The 21,344-nt window shown below is 35.9% G+C and overlaps 1 protein-coding gene across 30 annotated transcripts in view, besides 1 other annotated feature; it reads right to left on the bottom strand.

The window, feature by feature from the left end:
* PPIP5K2 (diphosphoinositol pentakisphosphate kinase 2) overlaps positions 1 to 21,344 on the bottom strand; it is a 92,499-nt gene that overhangs the window by 60,491 nt on the left and 10,664 nt on the right. For all 30 annotated transcript variants that reach the window (NM_001281471.3, XM_005277534.3, XM_005277536.3 and 27 more), the window contains exons 3-9: positions 18,661 to 18,856; positions 15,487 to 15,577; positions 13,840 to 13,925; positions 5,628 to 5,782; positions 4,277 to 4,378; positions 2,996 to 3,157; positions 935 to 1,056 (exon numbers count right to left, since the gene is read on the bottom strand). In NM_001281471.3, coding sequence (NP_001268400.1) covers positions 935 to 1,056; positions 2,996 to 3,157; positions 4,277 to 4,378; positions 5,628 to 5,782; positions 13,840 to 13,925; positions 15,487 to 15,577; positions 18,661 to 18,856 — 914 coding nt within the window. The remainder of the gene's footprint in view (positions 1 to 934; positions 1,057 to 2,995; positions 3,158 to 4,276; positions 4,379 to 5,627; positions 5,783 to 13,839; positions 13,926 to 15,486; positions 15,578 to 18,660; positions 18,857 to 21,344) is intronic.
* Positions 10,081 to 10,582: an enhancer, noted in NCBI's record as "H3K4me1 hESC enhancer chr5:102477431-102477932 (GRCh37/hg19 assembly coordinates)". NCBI's record gives its function as "activates a minimal SCP1, AML or CMV promoter by ChIP-STARR-seq in primed H9 embryonic stem cells {active_cell/tissue: H9 hESC(primed)}" and the evidence as "EXISTENCE:reporter gene assay evidence [ECO:0000049][PMID:30033119]".

Here is a 21,344-nt window from a genome sequence, read left to right as displayed (position 1 = left end):
TTCTTATCACTTTATTGAACATCTATAATGCTACTCTAAATATTGTGTTCATCTTAACAAATCACTACTATACTAATAGGGTTAAAAATGGAAAAATGTTTACTTTTTGGCTTTGTTTAAATTTAGCATTTATTTATGCTAAAATTTAGTAAACTCTCCCTTACATCACTTTAAGGGTAAGTTTGTAAATCTTTGAAACATACTGTGGGTTAAATGTTCTTAATCTGAAAATCTGAAATCCAAAACACTTCTGGTCCCATGCATTTTGGATAAGGGATACTTAACCAGTATAAAAGCTAGCTCCAATTATCGAACATTTTTTAATGTAAGTTTCCTATGGATTTGTCATATATACCTGGAAATGTCTTAAAAATAGTTATTGCCTTGCTAGTCTTCTGAATCAAGGTATAAAGAAAACAGGTTGAAGAATATAAAAATGGCATTTCTACCTACAATAATTTTTTTACATTCACTTGATAATCTTATGAAAATATCATCAAGTAACATATGCTTGTAGAATGAATTGTCATGCAAAAGAGTCATGAATTCTAAATATTTCTATTTTACTCTGTTTATTTCATGAATGTTAATTTTGTCCATTAAGTAGAAGAAAACCTTTTCCACTATAACTACATGGCAAAAATTTGAGGAATAAAGTATTCTAACAAATAAACTTTTGACTAATAATCAGCATGTTATAGTATTTGTAAACATATGAAGTTAAAGGTTTTCATCTATACTGATCATAAATTAATCTGTCTTTGATAAGCCAAAGTATAATTCAGGATCTGGCATAGTCTCTGGGGGTATCATTTTATGAACACTGATCTTTACTCTAGAATGCTTAAAAACCCTGATCATTTAATGTTAACAGTTATTTGGTTTCTGAATAACTAGTATATGAAGGTAAAAAGAAAAATTTAAAAATTCTTACCCAAGTATTTTTGCACAGTCATCATAATACTTCATGGAATTTTTCACAAAACTGAAGCCATTGACATCACAGACATAGGACTGTCCATTGGCCCGTAACAAATCAAAGCCACAAACTGTTTGCTATTTAAAATAAGTTATAAACTTTAAGGTTTTATTTAAATTATTAAGATTCACAGTTTTCTAGTCCTATCAGAACATATCAAATTTTATAAATGCTTAAAAGTATATTACTATATAGTGGTTTACTTCATAATAAGAAATGAAAGAAATTACTTATTTATAACTTGAGTACTCTGAAAATACATTATAGAGGCTATATGATTATTTAAGTCTTTCATCATAAAGTAGATGTACAACAATAACGCATAAGGGGCTACAGAGGCCCAAAAATAATATATTTGATCACAAAGTTCTTCAATTAACATTTAATTTAAAAACAAAAGCAAAATTTTTAAAGGATCTGATAAAAAAAAATTGGCTCTAGCAGAAATTACACCATGTTAATAAAAAAAAAAAAAAAAAAAAAAAAGGAGGATGGACGTGGAGAATAGTTTTGAGGACATATTCCAGAGGAAATCTTGTGATCTGTTTTGTTTGGTTTTGAGAGGTAGTGTCGCTCTGTCACCCAGGCTGGAGTGCAGTGGCACAATGTTGGCTCACTGCAACCTCCACTTCCCAGGTTCAAGGAATTCTTGTGCCCCAGCCACCGCAGTAGCTGGGATTACAGGTGTGAGCCACCACAAGGCTAATTTTTGTATTTTTAGTATAGACAGGGTTTTGCTATGTTAGCTAGGCTGGTCTGGAGTTCTGGCCTCAAGTGATCCACCTACCTCAGCACCCCCAAAGTGCTGGGATTATGGGTGTGAGCCACCACGCCCAGTCGAAATCCTGTGATCTTTTAAACCCCTAATACCACATATTCGTGAACACCTGTAATAAATTTACTTTATCTGGGTGAAGAAAATGGCCAAAAGGCATGAATTTGCCACTCAGGCTCTAAGAACTTTCTGATCTACATTTTAAGTTCAATCATCAGGTATTAGTATAATGTGATTTTTTGTCACAGCTTTCAGAATCCTGGCATAATAAAAGGATTTCTATAAAGCTATTAAAACTTATTTACAGGCTAACATTCCTTCCATGAAAGACACTTCAAATTATTAAGGCACAAAATAATTATTTATTATTTAACAACCAGTAATATATACTAGTCTTTAAGATTTCAAGAAGGTAAAATTTTTATCCTTCATTAAAGGAAGGTTGTAGTACTTCTATTTAAATCTTTACTATACAGTAGTTAGGAAGAAACTTAACAATATAGATTGAGAGAATTAGTCAAATGTCAGAAGTAAAAAAGTTTTTTTCAAGAAATGGTTTTGGCCGGGTGCAGTGGCTCACACCTGTAATTCCAGCACTTTGGGAAGCCGAGGTGGGCAGATCACGAGGTCAGGAGTTTGAGATGAGCCTGGCCAACGTGGAGAAACCCCCTCTCTACTAAAAATACAAAAATTAGCCGGGCATGGTGGTGGGTGCCTGTAATCCCAGCTACTCTGGAGGCTGAGGCAGGAGAATCGCTTGAACCCGGGAGGCAGAGGTTGCAGTGAGCCAAGATCCTGCCACTGCACTCCAGCCTGGGTGACAGCGAGACTCCGTCTCAAAAAAAAAAAAAAGAAATGTTTTTATATTGTTTTCATGAACATAGACCACTGAGAACTGTTTTCATTCAACAAAAAAATCTTACCAATTCTATGAAAGTAACACTTAAAGCCAGTTTCAAAAAGTATGCTAGACAATAACCCTAAAACACTGATCAGCTGAGTCATTTCTGAATTTTTATTTTATTTTTAATTTCTGAATAAATTGACCAGGTTTTCTTTTATATAATACAAAAGAATATATTGGCACCACAAGAATCCCTTGAAAAGTACATGAACCATTCAGATGTATTAATTACTTTCTCGGTTTACTTCTCCAATTATAAGCACCAATAATGTCTTAGTCAAAAAAGAAAATTAGAATTTACCTTTATAAGGATCTATAGGCCTGTATAACATCTTACCTTAAAAGCAAGGCAGACTTTCCAAGCAATTAATTTCTCTCGTGCATTGAGAATAACAGGGTATCTTACTTCTTTTCCTTCACTGTCTCGTTCCACCTTGCCATCAAGTGCTGGAGATTTTCGAGCTTCAGCATGGGCATAATCTGGACCCACTGTATAAACCTTTCACAAATGTTTAATAAATGTATAAATATATATATGTATGTGTGTGTGTGTGTGTAACCAACAGACAACAAATACAATGAAAAAATTACTAAAAAATAGTTCAGAATCCAGGCTAGTAGACACATCTTTCTATTTTACATGCCCAAATTTTCAGTTCATTGGGAAAGGTTGTAAGTAATCATTATATAGCAAAATTGGTAAAGTGAAGTTTCATTCTCTATAGAAAACTATTATATTGAGTATTACGAGGGAATACTAGGATGTATACAATGTGATCGCTCTCCTCAAATTGTTTTAGTTTAACAAATGAGAGATGCAAATAACTATAAAACTTACAGGAAAAAAAAAACCTTCCAAAAGAACATCTTTAAAAGGGTGAGGGCATAATCTGAGTGCAGGTAAGAGAAGAAAAGTAAAGGAAAGAGGCATGAACAGCATGATGTATTCAGGTATCGGCAAGTTATCTGATGTAGTTTATACTGTAAGAAATGAGGTTTATAAGACAAAGAGAGGACAGACTGAAATATCTTGTATGGCAGGATTATGAATCTGGTTATTATCCTGTGGTCAATAAGGATCCACTAGAGAATTTTTAAGGATTCATACTCAGATTTATACTTTAGAAAACATTCTGGTTAGAGAGAGAATGGCTGAAGGTAAAGCGATTAAGACCTATTTGTCACCAACTAAAATGACAGACATGTTTTATATCACATCACAGTTGTCACAGATCTCAAAACCTCACTTACACTAATCACTGCTTGGAAACTGTGGTGGTTATTAGACCTTTATCCCTGGTATCTTATTATTTAATGCCCCTTTAAAGACATATTATGTGTAACACAAAGTTGGTTTTTAAATATTTTATTATATTTGAATAAAATTTGTCTCCATCATAATCTTACATGTTTAAAGCATTTAAAAACACTACTCTTAAAAAAGAGTCCATAGGCTTCAGACTGCTAAAGATGTTGTTGTTACAAAACATGAGGAATCCCTAATCAAAAAGAAAGAGATCCAGAATAAAGGTTAGATATAGCTAAAGATTAACTACTTTTTCTGATATCATTGGTAAACTTGAAATATAAAACTAAAATCTATTTTAATCAATCCTACCTTAACATCAGTACCATCTGTGGGCATAAACTCTTCATATATATATGAGCCTGTTTTTCGTACATTGCTTTCTGGAGAATAAACACTACTTCTACTGCCAATCTGAAAACAAAAGATGTCCATCGATATAAAAAAGCAAATTATTTCCCTCATTTTTATGATAAAATGACAAATAGTTTATTTACCATCTATTTCCATCTTAGACATTTTCAAATACATTTTTTAATCCACAAATATTTAACAAAACTTACTATATACTTGGCACTATAGTAGTCTCTATTGTTACCATAACTTATATATTAGAGAACATAGAAATACAATGAACATTAAGAATTATGTTCTTAAGATTCATCCAGGTTGCTGCATGTAACTCAAGCTTGTTCATTTTTACTACTCTAGAATTTTCCATTGTGTAAATACACCAGAATTTATCCATTCTCCTATCAATGTATGTTTAGGTTGTTTTCCAAGCTTTGGTGATTACAATAATGTTGCTTTCAACATTCTTATGTGTCCCAACGGCAAACATGTATGAGTGTTTCTAAGGTATATAATAAAAGTGGAACTGCTCATTAATAGAATGTGCTCATATGCAACTTGTGAAGATAATGAAAAATCTTTATCAACTATTTTAACAATGTAGGGTCTCATCAGCAATGTGTAAGTTTTCACTGTTCTACATCCTTGTTTACACTTGTTATTGTTAGGCTTCTTAATATCTGCTACTTTAATGGATGTTAAAATGGTATCTCACTGTGTTCTTAATTTGAATTGCCATCAATTTCTATATGTATATGCATTTTACATTCTGATACATTGCTAAATTATATTGTTAAGAGGCTACATTGCTTTGTATTTCTGCCAACAATGTTTGGTCTTGTGCTTATTTCTCAACTAGCTCAATATTTTTTATCTTTGTCAATCCAAAAAGTAATACAATGTCATTATATCTCAATTTAATTTGCATTTGAGTACAATTAAGTATACTTTCATGTACGTAAAGTTATTAGTGTTACTTTTTCTATGAGCTGTTATTTTTCTGGGCCATTATTCTAAAAGACTGCTACTGCTTAAGTGAATTTCTAGTTTGACAGATGTACAAAATGGGAGGGAAAAGAAAAGTCAAGTATCTTTCCTGGCATTCTGCAGGCAGAAATTCTGCTTAACAACATTAAATAACTAAAATGATGCCATGCTTTTCTAACAAAGTATATCAGTTTCATAAATTTACCTCTAAATGATACATTTTCAAGAGTTCAATATTTAACGGTAATTAAATGCTTGATTGCTTTTAATAATACACGACAATGTACAAAGAAGAGTATTCATACAAAAGTTACAAAGGTGTTACCTTTCTAAAGAGTCTTTGACTTCCACCACCAGCAGAAGTTGGGTAATAAATGTAAACATTGTGATCTTCTGCACTGACTGGCTTTTCTACAAATGGCTTTTGAAAAACTTCCCCATTTACTTCTACATGATCTTCCCCTTCAATCAGATTACATTCTATAAAACAAACACGATTGCAAGAAATATCACATATTCTTATTATATTATCAGGACACCACATTATTATCGAGGACTTTTTCACTAAAAGACCATAAAAGAAAACTTGGATAATGTACTTACTTGATTTTAATTATCCATGTTTATGTAAATAACATGTGCCAACATTTATGATACGTATGGCATTAAAAGCTATAGTTCTTCAAAATTTTACAGACTTACCATTTCACACTACCACACCACAGAATTCAAAGTTAGATGTGAAATTATTATATCAAGAAAGACTGAGAAGTAACTCAAGAATGCCACCATCTTCTGAAAACTGTGAGATTACTCATATCACAGATATCGTAAAACATGAAGTTATTTAAGTTAGAAAGTAGCTTATATGCAAAGTAAGCCAGCAATTCAATTAGAAAGTTAATTTTTTACCTCTAGACAAGAAAAGTTTCTTGTTTCAGATGATGATTACTTTATATCTTTTTTAAATGTTATTTTTAATCATCATGGGTACATAGTAGTTGTATATATTTTTGTGGTCCACGTGAAATTCTGATACAGGCATACAATGTGTAATAATCAAACTGGAATAGTTGGGGTATTCACCACCTCAAACATTTATCATTTCTTTGTGTTAGGAACATTCTAATTTCACTTTTAGTTATTTCAAAATATAAAATAAATTATTGTAAACTATAGTCACCCTATTGTGCTACCAAATACTGGATCTTATTTATTCTATCTGTGTTGCTATACTCACTAACTATCCTCACTTCATCCCCGTCATCCTTGCAACCCTTCCCTCCAGTAACAAGTATTCTATGCTCAAGCTCTAAGAGTTCATCTTTTTTTTAAGCTCCCACACGTGAAAACATGCAATCTTTCTTTCTTGCCTGGCTTATTTCACTTAACATAAGACCTCCAGTTCCATCCATGTTGTTGCAAATGACAGGATTTCATTATTTTTATAGCTGAATAATATACCATTATCTATAGGTACCACATTTTCTTTATCCATCCATTAATGGACCCTTAGGTTGTTTCCATACTGGCTATTCCAAGTGGTGCTGCAATAAACATGAGTGCAAATATCTCTTCAATATACTGATTTCCTCTTTTTTGGACATATACCCAGCAGTGGGATTGCAAGATCATATGGTAGCTCTATTTTTAGTTTTTTGAGGAACCTCCATTTTGTTCTCAATAGTGGCTTTACTAATTCACATTCCCACCAACAGTATTCCCTTTCTCCACATCCTCACAAACATTTCTTATTGCTTGTCTTCTTGATAAAAGCCATTTTAACTTGGATGAGTTGATATCTCATCACAGATTTGATTTGCATTTCTCTGATGATTGGTGACGTTGAGCATATTTTCATATACCTATTGGCCATTTGTATGTCTTCCTTTGAGAAAAATCTGTTCAAATCTTTTGCCCATATTTTAATTAGATTTTTTTTTTCCTATAGAGCTGTTTGAGCTTCTTATATATTCTGGTTATTAGTCCCTTGTCAAATGGGTAGTTTACAAATATCTTCTCCCATTCCGTGGACTGTCTCTTCACTGTATTGTTTCCTTTGCTGTGCAGAAGTTTTTTAGGTTGATATGATCCCATTGGTATATTTTTGCTTTGGTTGCCTGGGTTTCTGAGGTCTTACTCAAGAAATTTTTGCCCAGACCAGTATCCTGGAGTGTTTCTACAATGTTTTCTTTTAGTAGTTGCATAGCTTCAGGTCTTAGATTTAAGTATTTAATCCATTTTGATTATGTATATGGAGAGAGATAGGGGCTTAATTTGATTCTGGATATAGATATCAAGTTTTCCCAACACTACTTACTGAAGACACTGTCCTATCCCCAGTGGACATTCTGGTCAACTTTGTCGAAAATGAGTTAACTGCAAATGTGTATATTTTTTTCTGGATTCTGCATTCTGTTCCATTGGTCTATATTTTGATGCCAGTACCATCCTGTTTTGGTTACTATAGCTTAGCAGTACAACTTGAAGTCAAATAATGTGATTCCTCCAGTTTTGTTGTTTTTGCTCAGGCTGGCTATGGCTATTCTGAGTTTTTTGTGGTTCCATATAAATTTTAGTATTTTTTTTCTATTTCTGTGAAGAATGTCTTTGCTATTCTGACTGCATTGAATCTGTAGATGGCTTTGGGTAGTATGGCAATTTTAACAATACTGATTCTTTCAATCAATGAAAATGGAGTATTTTTCCATTTTTTTGTGTGTTCTCTTCAATTTTTTTCATCAGCATTTTATGGTTTTCATTGTAGAAGAGATCTTTCATTTCTTTAAGTGAATTCCGAGGTATTTAATTTATTTGTAGCTATTGTAAATGGGATTACTTTTTTTTTTTAGTTTCTTTTTCAGATTGTTTGCTGTTCGCATATAGAAATGCTATGGATTTTTGTAAGTTAATATTGTATCCTGCAACTTTACTGAACTTGTTCTAATAGTTTTGTGGTAAAGACTCTAGGATTTTCTAACTGTAAGATCATATCATCTATAAACAAGAATAATGTAACTCCTTTTTTTTCAATTTGGATGCCCTTTATTTCTTTCTCTTCCCTAATTTCTCTGGCTATAATTTCCAGTATTATGTTGAATAAAAGAGATGAAAGTAGACATCCTTGTCTTGTTCCAATTCTTAGAGGAAATATTTTCACCTTTTCCCTGTTCAGTATAATGTTAGCTGTGGGTTTGTCATATAGCGCTTTTATCACATAGAGGTAAGTTCATTCCATACCCAGTTTTTTGAGAGATTTTATCATGAAGGGATGTTTAATTTTATCAAATGCTTTTTCTCCATCAATTGAAATGATCATATGTAGAGAGTATAGAGTTGGATCTTATTTTTTAATCCATTTAGCAACTCTAAGTGTTTTGTTGCAAGAATTCAGCTCATTTGCATTCACGTTATTACTGATAGGTAAAGACTTGCTTCTGCTATTTTGGCATTTGTTTTCTGAGGTTTCCATTATTTTGTCCTCCCTTCCTTCCTTCCTGACCTATCTTCCTTTGTGGCAAAGTGATTTTCTGCCGGGGCATGATGGTCCCCAGCACTTCTGGAGTCTGAGACAGGAGGATCACATGAGCCAAGGAGTTTTGAAACCAGCCTGGGCTACACAGTGAGATCCTGTCTCTACAAAAAATAATTACTTGGGTCTGGTGGCTTGTGCTTGTAGTCCCAGCTACTCAGGAAGCTGAAGTGCGAGAATCACTTGGGAGTCGAGGCTACAGTGAAAAGTGATCACGCCACTTCACTCTAACATGGGTGAAGAGCAAGACCCTATCTCAAATACTACACATATGTAATTCTCTCTGGTAGTATGTTTTAATTTCTTTTTATTTTTTGTGTATCTGTTACAGGTTTTTGTTTTGTGATTACCATAAGGCTTACAAATAACATTTTATTACAATTATTTTAAATTGATGACAACTTAACTCTGATTACAAAGAAAATAAAAAGAAAATTTTAAAAACTCTACATTTTAACTCCATTTCCCCCCATCCATGTTTTGACTTTTTGTTGTCTCTATTTTTATGTTTCTATACTCGTAAAAAGTTGTTGTAGTTATTATTTCTGACAGGTTTGCCTTTTAGTCTTCTTATGAAATATATAAGAGGTTTGTACACCACAATGACAGTGTTAGAGTATTATGTATTTATCTGTGTACTTGCTATTACCAGTGAGTTTTACACATTCAGATGATTTCTTGAATTTTTTTTTTTTTTTTGAGACGGAGTCTTGCTCACTCGCCCAGGCTGGAGTGCAGTGGCGCCATCTTGGCTCACTGCAAGCTCCGCCTCCTGGGTTCATGCCATTCTCCTGCCTCAGCCTCCCGAGTAGCTGGGACTACAGGCGCCCGCCACCACACCCGGCTAATTTTTTTTGTATTTTTAGTAGAGACTGAGAGGTGACAGCGTGCTAGCAGTCCTCACAGCCCTCGCTCGCTCTTGGCGCCTCCTCTGCCTGGGCTTCCACTTTGGCGGCGCTTGAGGAGCCCTTCGTCCCGCCGCTGCACTGTGGGAGCCCCTTTCTGGGCTGGCCAAGGCTGGAGCCCACTCCCTCAGGTTGCAGGGAGATGTGGAGGGAGAGGCGCGAGCGGGAACTGGGGCTGCGGGGCGGTGCTTGCGGGCCAGCTGGAGTTCTGGGTGGGCGTGGGCTTGGGCTTGGCGGGCCCCGCACTCGGAGCAGCCGGCCAGCCTGGCCCTGGACAATGAGGGACTTAGCACCCGGGCCAGTGGCTGCGGAGGGTGTACTGGGTCCCCCGGCAGTGCCAGCCCACCGGCGCTGCGCTGGATTTCTCACCGAGCCTTAGCTGCCTTCCCGCAGGGCAGGGCTCGGGACCTGCAGCCTGCTATGCCTGAGCCTCCCACCCACTCCATGGGCTCCTGTGCGGCCCGAGCCTCCCCAACGAGCACCACCCCCTGCTCCACGGCGCCCAGTCCCATCGACCACCCAAGGGCTGAGGAGTGCGAGCACACGGCGCGTGACTGGCAGGCAGCTCCACCTGCAGCCCTGGTGCGGGATCCACTGGGTGAAGCCAGCTGGGCTCCTGAGTCTGGTGGGGAGGTGGAGAGTCCTTATGTCTAGCTCAGGGATTGTAAATACACCAATCAGCACCCTGTGTTTAGCTCAAGGTTTGTGAGTGCACCAATCTACACTCTGTATCTAGCTCTCTGGTGGGGCCTTGGAGAACCTTTATTTCTAGCTCAGGGATTGTAAATACTCCAATCGGCACTCTGTATCTAGCTCAAGGTTTGTAAACACACCAATCAGCACCCTGTGTTTAGCTCAAGGTTTGTGAATGCACCAATCGACACTCTGCATCTAGCTGCTCTGGTGGGGCCTTGGAGAACCTGTGTGTCGAAACTCTGTATCTAACTAATCTGATGGGGACGTGGAGAACCTTTGTATCTAGCTCAGGGATTGTAAACGCACCCATCAGTGCCCTGACAAAACAGGCCACTCGGCTCTACCAATCAGCAGGATGTGGGTGGGGCCAGATAAGAGAATAAAAGCAGGCTGCCCGAGCTGTAACACTCACCGCGAAGATCTGCAGCTTCACACCTGAGCCCAGCAAGACCAAGAGCCCACCGGGAGGAACGAACAACTCCAGACGCGCTACCTTAAGAGCTGTAACACTCACCGCGAAGGTCTGCAGCTTCACTCCTGAGCCAGCGAGACCACGAACCCACCAGAAGGAAGAAACTCCAAACACATCTGAACATCGGAAGGGACAGACTCCAGACGTGCCACCTTAAGAGCTGTAACACTCACCGCGAGGGTCTGCGGCTTCATTCTTGAAATTAGTGAGACCAAGAACCCACCAATTCCGGACACAAGACGGGGTTTCACCACGTTAGCTAGGATGGTCTCGATCTCCTGACCTCGTGATCCACCCACCTCGGCCTCCCAAAGTGTTGGGATTACAGACGTGAGCCACTGCACCCGGCCCAGATGATTTCTTATTTTTAACGTCTTTTTCTATCAGATTGATGAACTCCTTTTAGCATTTCCTGTAAAAGATCTGTAAGATCTTTTTCCTATCCTGTCCTATAAGGACAGAAAAATTCCATGATACTGGTAATTCATGAATCCCTCAGTTTCTGTTTAGTAAAGTATATTATGTCTTCATGTTTGAAGGATAATTTTTTTTTTTTTTTTTTTTTGAGACGGAGTCTCGTTCTGTCGCCCAGGCGGGAGTGCTGTGGCGCGATCTCCGCTCACTGCAAGCTCCGCCTTCCGGGTTCACGCCATTCTCCTGCCTCAGCCTCCCGAGTAGCTGGGACTACAGGCGCCCGCCACTGCGCCCGGCTAATTTTTTGTATTTTTAGTAGAGACGGGGTTTCACCGTGGTCTCGATCTCCTGACCTCGTGATCCGCCCGCCTCGGCCTCCCAAAGTGCTGGGATTACAGGCGTGAGCCACCGCGCCCGGCCTGAAGGATAATTTTGCTGAATAGAATATTCTAGGTTGGAAGTTTTGTTTTTCCTTCAACACTTTGAATGCCATCACACTCTCTCCTAGCCTATAAGCTTTCTGCTTAGATGTCAGCTGCCAGTTGTATCAGAGCTTCTTTACATGTTATATACATCTATTCTCTGGGTGCTTTAAGGATCTTTGTTTATCCTTGACCTTTGAGAGTTTAATTAATATATGCCTTGAGATAGTCTTATTTGGGTTAAATCTTCATATTCTTCTATGACCTATGCATATTCGTATCTTTCTTTAGGTTTGGAAAGTTCTGTTATTGCTTATTTCAATAAACTTTCTACCATGATCTATGTTCTCTTTAAGAGCACTAATTCTTGGATTTGTCCCTTTGAGGCTATTTTTAAGATTTTTTTTTTTTTTTTTAACATTTTCCCTTCCCCTTATTAACTACGTAGGTCCCAAAGTTCTTAAAGAAAAACGAAGAAAGGAGTGGGCTAAAAAGATGAAAAGTGCTACCTGGGAAGTTTGTTCAAGCTCCTCTCTCAGGTCTCTTTAGTCCTGTAAGTGTGTTTCATTCTTTTCCTCTCTTTCTCCTCTGGCTATGGATTTTCACATAGCCAGTTTTCAAGCTCACTAATTCTTCTACTTGATCCACTTTGCTGTTGAGAGGCTTTGATATATATTTCAGTTTGTCAACTGAATTTTTCAGTTCCAGAATTTTGGCTTGTTTTGAATTATTTCAATCTCCTTGTTAATTTCTCATGATACAATTCTGATTCCTTCTCCATGTTACACTGAAGTTCTTGAGCTTCCTCAGGACAGCTATTTTGAATTCTCTGTCTGAAAGGTCACATATCTCCATCACTCCAGGATTGGTAACTGGTACCTTATTTAGTTTGTTTGGTGAGGTCACATTTTTCTGGATGTTCTTGATGCTTGTAGACATTCACTGATGTCTGGGTATTTACAAGTTAGGTATTTATTTCAGTCTTCACCGTTTGGGCTTGTTTGTATCCATCCTTCTTGAGAAAGCTTTCCACATATTCAAAAAAGACTAAGTGTTATGATCTAAGCCTGAGGTCACTGCAGCTGTATTAGCACTAGGGGGCGCCCTAAGTCCAGGAATGCTACAAACTCTTGCTGACTCCTAGAGGCACCACCTTGGTGGACTAATTTTTTGGTTCTTATGAAGGTGCATTCTTGCATGGCTAGTTTATAATTTGGTGTTCCTGTGGGGAGTGGGACAATCACTGGAGGGTATATTTGGCCATCTTGTTCTGCCTCCCCCCTAGTTTTTAATAAAAGATGGTTTAAGGTATGATAAATTCATCAAAATTCCCCACAATACTAAGTGTGAACAGAAATGTTAACTCAAGACAAACACGTATTTTGCCTTGTGACTAAGTTAGGTATAGCTTCCATGCTATGTTTTAGATAACCAGAAAAAAAGGAGCAAACAGTGCTTTAAAATATTAATAAATACTTAGAAGTACTGTTGCCCCTTGTCATACGCGGTGACTGGTTCCAGGAACCCCCTCGTATACCAAAATCTTCACATACTCAAGTCCCACAGTTGGCTCTGCAGAATCCATGTAAATGAAAAGTTGGCTATCAGTATATGTGGGACCCACGAATTCCGTATTTTCAATTCATGTTTATTCCATGAATAAGCAGACCAGCACAGTTCAAACACATGCTGTTCCAGGGCCAACTGTATTTCCAAATTCTTGGCCAGTATTTAGTTTTTGGCATTGTAGCATGAAGTTTCTAATACTTAATTCAATAGTCATAGATAAATCACTTGTTCACCTTTAATCAATACACATTTACTTGTATGTAATTTCAAAATTCTAACTCATGATTCTTAGAGATATGTCAAAAGTAGGCCAAAGAAGAGAAGGATAAATAATTCCTAAATTATTAGGTAGCCTTTTAACTCAGTGTCACCTTTTAATTGAATATGTTTGTCTGTTTAGATTATTTTTTAAAATGGAATAGAATACTATGAATTCTTTAAATTCCTTCCAGTTAATTATTGTAAGAATGTGGCCCAAAAGTATGTCAAGTGGCAAAGGAAGCTTACCTAAAATCTCTTACTCTTACCTTTGGGATTATTTGGGTCACGGTTCAAAATAGCATAACGAGGAAGTAAAATACCTTCAGCTTGAAGAATACTATATACTTCTCTCCTGAAGAAAAAGGGAAACATCCTTATTGTTTTATTGCTCCATTTCACAATGAATATATTATTGTAGTTTTCTTAAAAGACATTATTGTTGTTCTATAACTAAAAAGGGTATATATCTCAACACTTTTTATTTTTTAAATAAACAAATGTCACTTCGAATATTCAAAAAAGGTATTCTGAGGAAATATTCAGCAATAAGAACACAAATTTATGCACAATTCTTTTCTAGCTTATTGAGAAACTAATTATTAAAACTGAGAACATAAATGTATTTTAAAAATGGCTGAATAAAGTTGATATTATCACAATGATAGAACATTACCTAAGCATTAAAAGCCTTATGCTTAAATAGTATTTAATGACATGGAGAAATGTTCACAGCATACTAGAGAAAAGTGATTCTAATTTGGTAAAATGTGATTGTTATGTATGTATTGTTTTCTATAGGAAAAAAATATGATAGATACAGTGACGATTAAATGGCTTTCGGTACGCTTTTACTTTTCAAACCATTTAAAACGAACATACATTTCTATAGCTATAGCTGTATATATAAAAACACATATATATGAATTAATATGTAAATGTAGAGAAAATGTTTTAAATTTTAGATATTAATAATGTTACTCTCTGGAAGAATAGAAAAAAATAAAGTGAAAAAACCATAAGGTCTCATATTTACAAAGCATTTTTCATACACATAAAATCTCATATTGTAATGGTAAAACAAGAAAATAGAATGCTGGTGAGATTATGAGAATAGCTATAGGAGTGAAACATTGATTGAATGAAATACATAAATACACTCATATTTTATAATTTATTAGAAATCCATGCTTTTTACCTGTTAAATGAATGCTAAGATATACAGTATAATATTTTTCAAAATAGGTATACTTTACCATTTAAAAAATCTAGTTATAGGCCGGGTGCGGTGGCTCACACCTATAATCCCAGCACTTTGGGAGGCCGAGGCAGGCGGATCACAAGGTCAGGAGATCGAGACCATCCTGGCTAACACGGTGAAACCCTGTCTCTACTAAAAATACAAAAAATTAGCTGGGCGTGGTGGCGGGCGCCTGTAATCCCAGCTACTCGGGAGGCTGAGGCAGGAGAATGGCGGGAACCCGGGAGGGGGAGCTTGCAGTGAGCTGAGATCCCGCCACTGCACTCCAGACTGGGCGACAGAGCCAGACTCCATCTCAAAAAAAAAAAAAAAAATCTAGTTATAATGAGTAAAGTCCTAATTTCATCATCAGTCCCATGACAGAAAAAGTGCTCATAAGTTTGAATGGTTTAGTAGGCTCTGGAAATTAAACAATCTCGGTTAAGTCTTTGTCCTACTACGTGGGGAACTTGTGACTTTGGGTAGATTAATCAATCTTCCTAATTATCAAGATTCCTCATCTGTAAAATTAGGTAATAAATAACTATTTCTGAGTATTATTTTGAAAGTACAATGAATTAATAATGCAAAAACACCTGATGCCATGTCAGTGTACAGTAGGTACTAAATTAATGTTATTTTTCCTTCCCTTAATTCAGCCAACTTCACCACTCACCTATCTTGTATGAGATACTGCATATTCAAGTCATTGATTACAAATGGATTCCTGAGTTTTGCATAGGCAACCGCTTTGTCCAGTGGAAATCCTAAGAACACATATTATTAACATATTCTGTATTATCTCAAGATAAGCATCTATACTTTATTAACTTGAATTGATGCCACCTCCCATAAAAGATTCATTTCATTAACACATAACACCCTTCTATAAAAGGTATGGAATATATACATAAACCTTGATTTAACTTATATATTAAATCTTATTTTTTCATAATTTGATTAAGGCACAACAAACCAGTGGTTATATAACCAAATTTGGAGCACTGACATGTGAGTGAAGGTCTGACTAGTCAGTCACCTGAAATAAGGTAAGATTCACCTCATACACAAAGAGAAATCTATATGTAAATAACATGGGTGTATCAGAATCACCTGGTGATTTTTAAAAAATGTATTCAACATCTCTTCTTTTCACTTAGATATTTTGATGCCTACACACATAAATTAGCTGATATTCAAAGACTTATGTGCCTTTAAAAACAGTGGGCCAGGCATGGGGGCACACGCCTATAATCCCAGCACTTTGGGAGGCCGAGGCAGGTGGATCACCTGAGGTCAGGAGTTCGAGACCAGCCTGGCCAACAGGGTGAAACCCCATCTCTACTAAAATTACAAAAAATTAGCCAGGTGTGGTGGCGCACACCTGTAATCCCAGATACTTAGGAGGCTGAAGCAGGAGAATCACTCAAATCCAGGAGGTGGAGGTTGCGGTGAGTGGAGATCGTGCCATTGTACTCCAGCCTGGGCAACAGAGCAAGACTCCATCTCAAAAAAAAAAAAAAAAAAAAAGCTACAGAAGCAAAACTTAATTCATATATGACATATATGCTCAAAATATATGAGCAGAATCATGCTATTGCTAGGTCAACATTAAAATATTAGAAATTAAGTCCCTAAAACTTGTAGACTGGTAAAAGTACTAATTACAATGAAAACAAATCAAATAGTAGATATAGTGAAGAACAGGTCCCCTCCCCCAAAATCTAAAAAATTTTAATGATTGTATTTTATTCTCTATATTGGCACTAATGCCAGGTGCAGTGGCTCTTGCCTGTCCCAGTACTTTGGGAGGCCGAGTTGGGAGGAGTGCTTGATGCCAGGAATTCAACACCAGCCTGGGCAACATAGCAAGATCCCATCTCTACAAAAAATTCAAAAGAATCAGCTGAGGGTAGTGGTGCAACCTGTAGTTCTATCCTTCAGGAGGCTGAGGTGGGAGGATCACTTGAGCCCAAGAGTTTGAGGTTACAGGGAGCTATGACTATACCACTGCACTCCAGCCTAGTTGACACAGCAAGACCCTGTCCTCCAGGGGGAAAAAAAAAATTGACACAAAGTCTCCAATTTTATCCATCAATACACATCATCAGTTGTATACCGTAACAGTTAAAGACATAAACCAGCGTTCAAATCCTGGTTCCATCTCTCACTAGCTATGTGACCTTGGGCAAATTTATTTAACGTCTCTAAGCCTCTGGTACCAGCACAAAAGAGTAGTATACCAGTCTTACCTAGTAGAGTTTTGAGGAATTAATAATAGTGTGGATATAAGGCACTAAGCACAGTACCTGGCATAGTAAGTGCTCAATAAATGTTACCTGTTATTATTCCTTAAGAGGCAATATTTTAATAAATATCTATGGAAAAGGATAAAAATCAGCAAGCATACATAACTTTAGTATTCAACTATGGAATACTAAGTATACCTGTGAAGAGACTATATTTTATAGTACTACCAGAATAGTTAAGAGAAAAAGTATTAAAACATGCTGAAATTAAAACAAAAAGCTGTGGCCAGTTAAATCAGATTTATTCCTAAACTCCTCTTAGTTTTTAAAATTTAAATACAGATACCTTATATCAAGAACCACTTAGCCACAAATTACAAATCCTGAAAGTTTTATAAAGACTCTCAGAATTCATCGCTTGTAAAGATGTCTCAATGTCTATGATTTGAAGCCTCCTTACAGAATTCAGCAAATAGAAAACACCTACACAGTTTCCTGCTTTTGTTTTTGTTAAAGAGAAACTTTTTCCCTACCAAGAGATGGTATGTGGAATATGACATTAGCTATAACACCCAGTTTTTACAGGCAAATATAACACTAATAGGAAGAACCATGTGAGGGTAAGGGAAGAATGCTTTACTCTCAAGGAGGAAGAAATTTTAAGGTTCTCTAAAATGAGCAGCCTGAGTCTTTGAAGATCAGTGTCTTGACTTCTCTATGAAATAATGAACATCAATTTAGGCTATGGTAGCAAAACCATGCTCCATCTTCTTCTTGCTGAAGTAAGACTTTAACATAGCTCAGGAGAACATATTTTGGTAACAAGTGATGATTAAATATGAATACATTTACAACTGAGAGCACATCTTTTCAATTAATAGTTCTTAGTGGGAAATTCACTTAATTCACAGATTCTTAGGCTATCAATTTTCAGATGTACCCTCAGCAATAATTTTGATTAGTGGAATTTACAATGACATAATACTTAAGCTGAAGTGATATTTCAGTTTGATTAATAAGATATAGCAAGGAATGTCTAAAAATCTCAAATTATTAAGTTCTTAAAAATAAAGTATGAATATGTATATGAAAAATGATAGATCTTGTTCTATAAAGCATAGAAAGGGGCTTAAAGTATTCAATAATTCAAGAACTTGTCCTAAGAAACTTAGAGATGCAAACAAAAATATGCAGTGAAAAAGATCACACAACCTTATTTTTAATAGTGAAAACTGGAAACTTTCCAAATGTTAGGATATTGGATAAATTTAAATATGTTATGGTATATCCACACAATGATATACTATGCCACCATTAAAAACCACATTATCTAAGAATGACATGGTAGGGGAAAAAAACTTCTTGATATAATAGTGAAAAAGGTTAAATATAAAATTACACATACACTATGACACTAAATTAAATGATAATACACATAGAAGACAAACACTGGAAAGAAATATATCACAATGTTAATATTACCTGTCCATGAAAGTGAGTTAATGTTTATTTTTCTGTTTTATCTCATAGTCTACAATTAATATGTATTAGTTTTATAAACAGAGAGGATAAAGGAGTTTCTCCCCCACTCCCCTTAATACCTTTAGAATGGAAAGAAATAAGACAATCACATAAAGGCCAGTTTTCCACTGGTTCATTCAAAATAACCTCCTCTTCAAATACTACTACTGTGATATATTTAAATAAGGAGATCCGTTCAAGAATTTCCTTCATTGGTTTGGATTTGGATTTCTTTGCCATGGAACATATTCCAACCACAATCTGCCTTTCTGGTGGCTAAAACAAAAATGAAACAAAAAATCGGGTTAACTTTACATGAACTCCAAAGTACAGCTATCTTCATTTGTTTTCCAAAAGTAGATAAGGCATGTGATTAATAAATAAAAGTGACACATTAACAAACAAAGGAATTTTTAAAAATTATATCATTGTTATAATAAACATTTAAAAAACAGTTTTCTACAAAAGTCTGGAAACAAATTTAAAAACAAAAACACTTTCAGAATAAATATGGTTGCTATTTTCAATGAAATTTCAAACTAAGAAAGTACCCCCTCTTTAACTACCTCTAGCATTTATTTATCCTCCTCACACCAGTAAAGTATAATAACAGTCAAAACCCATCCACTCTATGTAGAAAGATAAAGAATTCTCTTGCCTAAAGTAAGACATAGTCCTGACTACAAAGCTATAAGTATTAAACTATTATTGTAGTTTGCACTTGAATATTAGTTGGTCACTGATGACAACTTGGAAGAAAATTTTAAAGAAAGCCACACTGCTAACAGAGGTGTCAAGTCTCTTTGCCCCTCCTGTCTTCATAGTCAAAACTCCTACTCATTGGTGTTACTGATCTCTGGCATCCTCGTAACAGCTCAAAGGCCACAATTCAGCCTAAAACTTAAAAAGCAGGATATAGAAACTGATTTATGAGTAGCTCCTAGATTTATAAAATTACTCAAGATTCATTTGGTGATCTTTGCATTTAAGTGCTTGAGAGTTTTATCAAATATACAAAAGCTGTGTTGAGGTTCTCATTTCAATTTTTCTTTCTTGCATGATACTTTATATATTTCATACAACATTATAATCTAGGCTTGAAAGTGCTTTTCTGGGCTTTTTCTTAATATAACTAAAAATAAAATTGGATAACATCAGAATTAATTAATTAATTTTTTTTTTTGAGACAAAGTCTCGCTCTGTCGCCCAGGCTGGAGTGCAGTGGCGCAATCTCAGCTCACTGCAACCTCCGCCTCCCGGGTTCAAGCAATTCTCCTGCCTCAGCCTCCCAAGTAGCTGGGACTACAGGCATGCACCACCACACCCAGCTAATTTTTTTTTTCGTATTTTTAGTAGAGATGGGGTTTCATCGTGTTAGCCAGGATGGTCTCGATCTCCTGACCTCATGATCTGTCTGCTTCGGCCTCCCAAAGTGCTGGGATTACAGGCGTGAGCTACCACGCCCAGCCTAAATTGTTCTTTTTTTATGCCTAGAACAGTATTTCTGTATTGTCTCCTCAAACTCATGAAATGTAGAGTTCAAATTGTACTAGAGTTGATTGGTAAATCAAATAGATTATAAATGCTAACTCTCCTGGAATCTTCTGTATTTATCCCTCTGAACATCCACTTTTATATGCCCTTATTCAATGCTTTCCTGATCAAAAGTTTTGGTACAGTTCATTATAATGTTCCTAAAGTAGATTTCCCCAGACAACAAATGTACTCTAACCTAACATTTCACATTGCTTTACAATTTTTTTAAATGCTAATATATTGTCTTATTTATTATAAATCTATTTAATGAATATCTGCTCACTGGCTAAGATGAATGGGAACCATTCAAGTTTAAAATGTATAAATAAACTTACATTCTTAAGGCACAATCGCAGAGTTTCTCTGTTAGGTAAAACCTTAAAATCATGAAGATAATTTTTTAAACAGATCTGAGGTATTTTGTTAGGTTGAATGTCTAAAAAAACTATAGTCACATCTTTGAAGTCTTAAAAACAGGAGAGAAATCTTAAAAACAGGAGAATGATCTGGAATAAATAATTTTATAAATATAAAGCTATACATCAAATGAACTAAATCAAGCTTCTGTAAAGTGATAATAGTGCATCATACTATGCACTGAAGATTAGATATACAGAATTACCTGTCCTTAACAGGGAACACAGTAATAATAAAATAAATTGTGATACATGGAATAGAAGTACAGTTGGCCCTCCATATCCATGGGTTTTACATCCATGGATTCAATTAATCATGTATTGAAGATATTTGGGGGGAAAAAAAGCATCTGTACTGAACATATACAGACTATATTTCTTATTATTATTCCCTAAATGATACAGTATAACAACTATTTACACAGCATTTATATTGTATTAGATATAAGTAATTTAGGGATGATTTAAAACATGGGTAGATGCAGCTTACATGTAAATATCACATAATTTTATAAAAAGAACTTCAGCATCTGCAGATTTTGGTATCCACAGGGAGTCCTAGAACCAATCCCCCATGGATATTGAAGGACAACTGTATATACAGCAACGTAAAGACACAGTAATGAGGAAGAAGTATTCCAATCTGTGATGGGAAAAAGAGCAAAGAGAATGGAAAGAGTCAATGATGTGAAATCTGGGGAGGGTTTGGAAGAATGAAAAATAATTCACAAGGTATCCCAAAATAAGGTCATTTCAGAGAGGTAAAAGAGTACATACAATAGCAAAGACGCATGGTATGACAATAAATATGT

Source organism: Homo sapiens, chromosome 5 (assembly GCF_000001405.40).
Source record: "Homo sapiens chromosome 5, GRCh38.p14 Primary Assembly".
NCBI lineage: Eukaryota > Metazoa > Chordata > Mammalia > Primates > Hominidae > Homo > Homo sapiens.
Note: the sequence above shows the minus strand (reverse complement) of the source record. Positions and strands in the feature narration are given on the sequence as shown.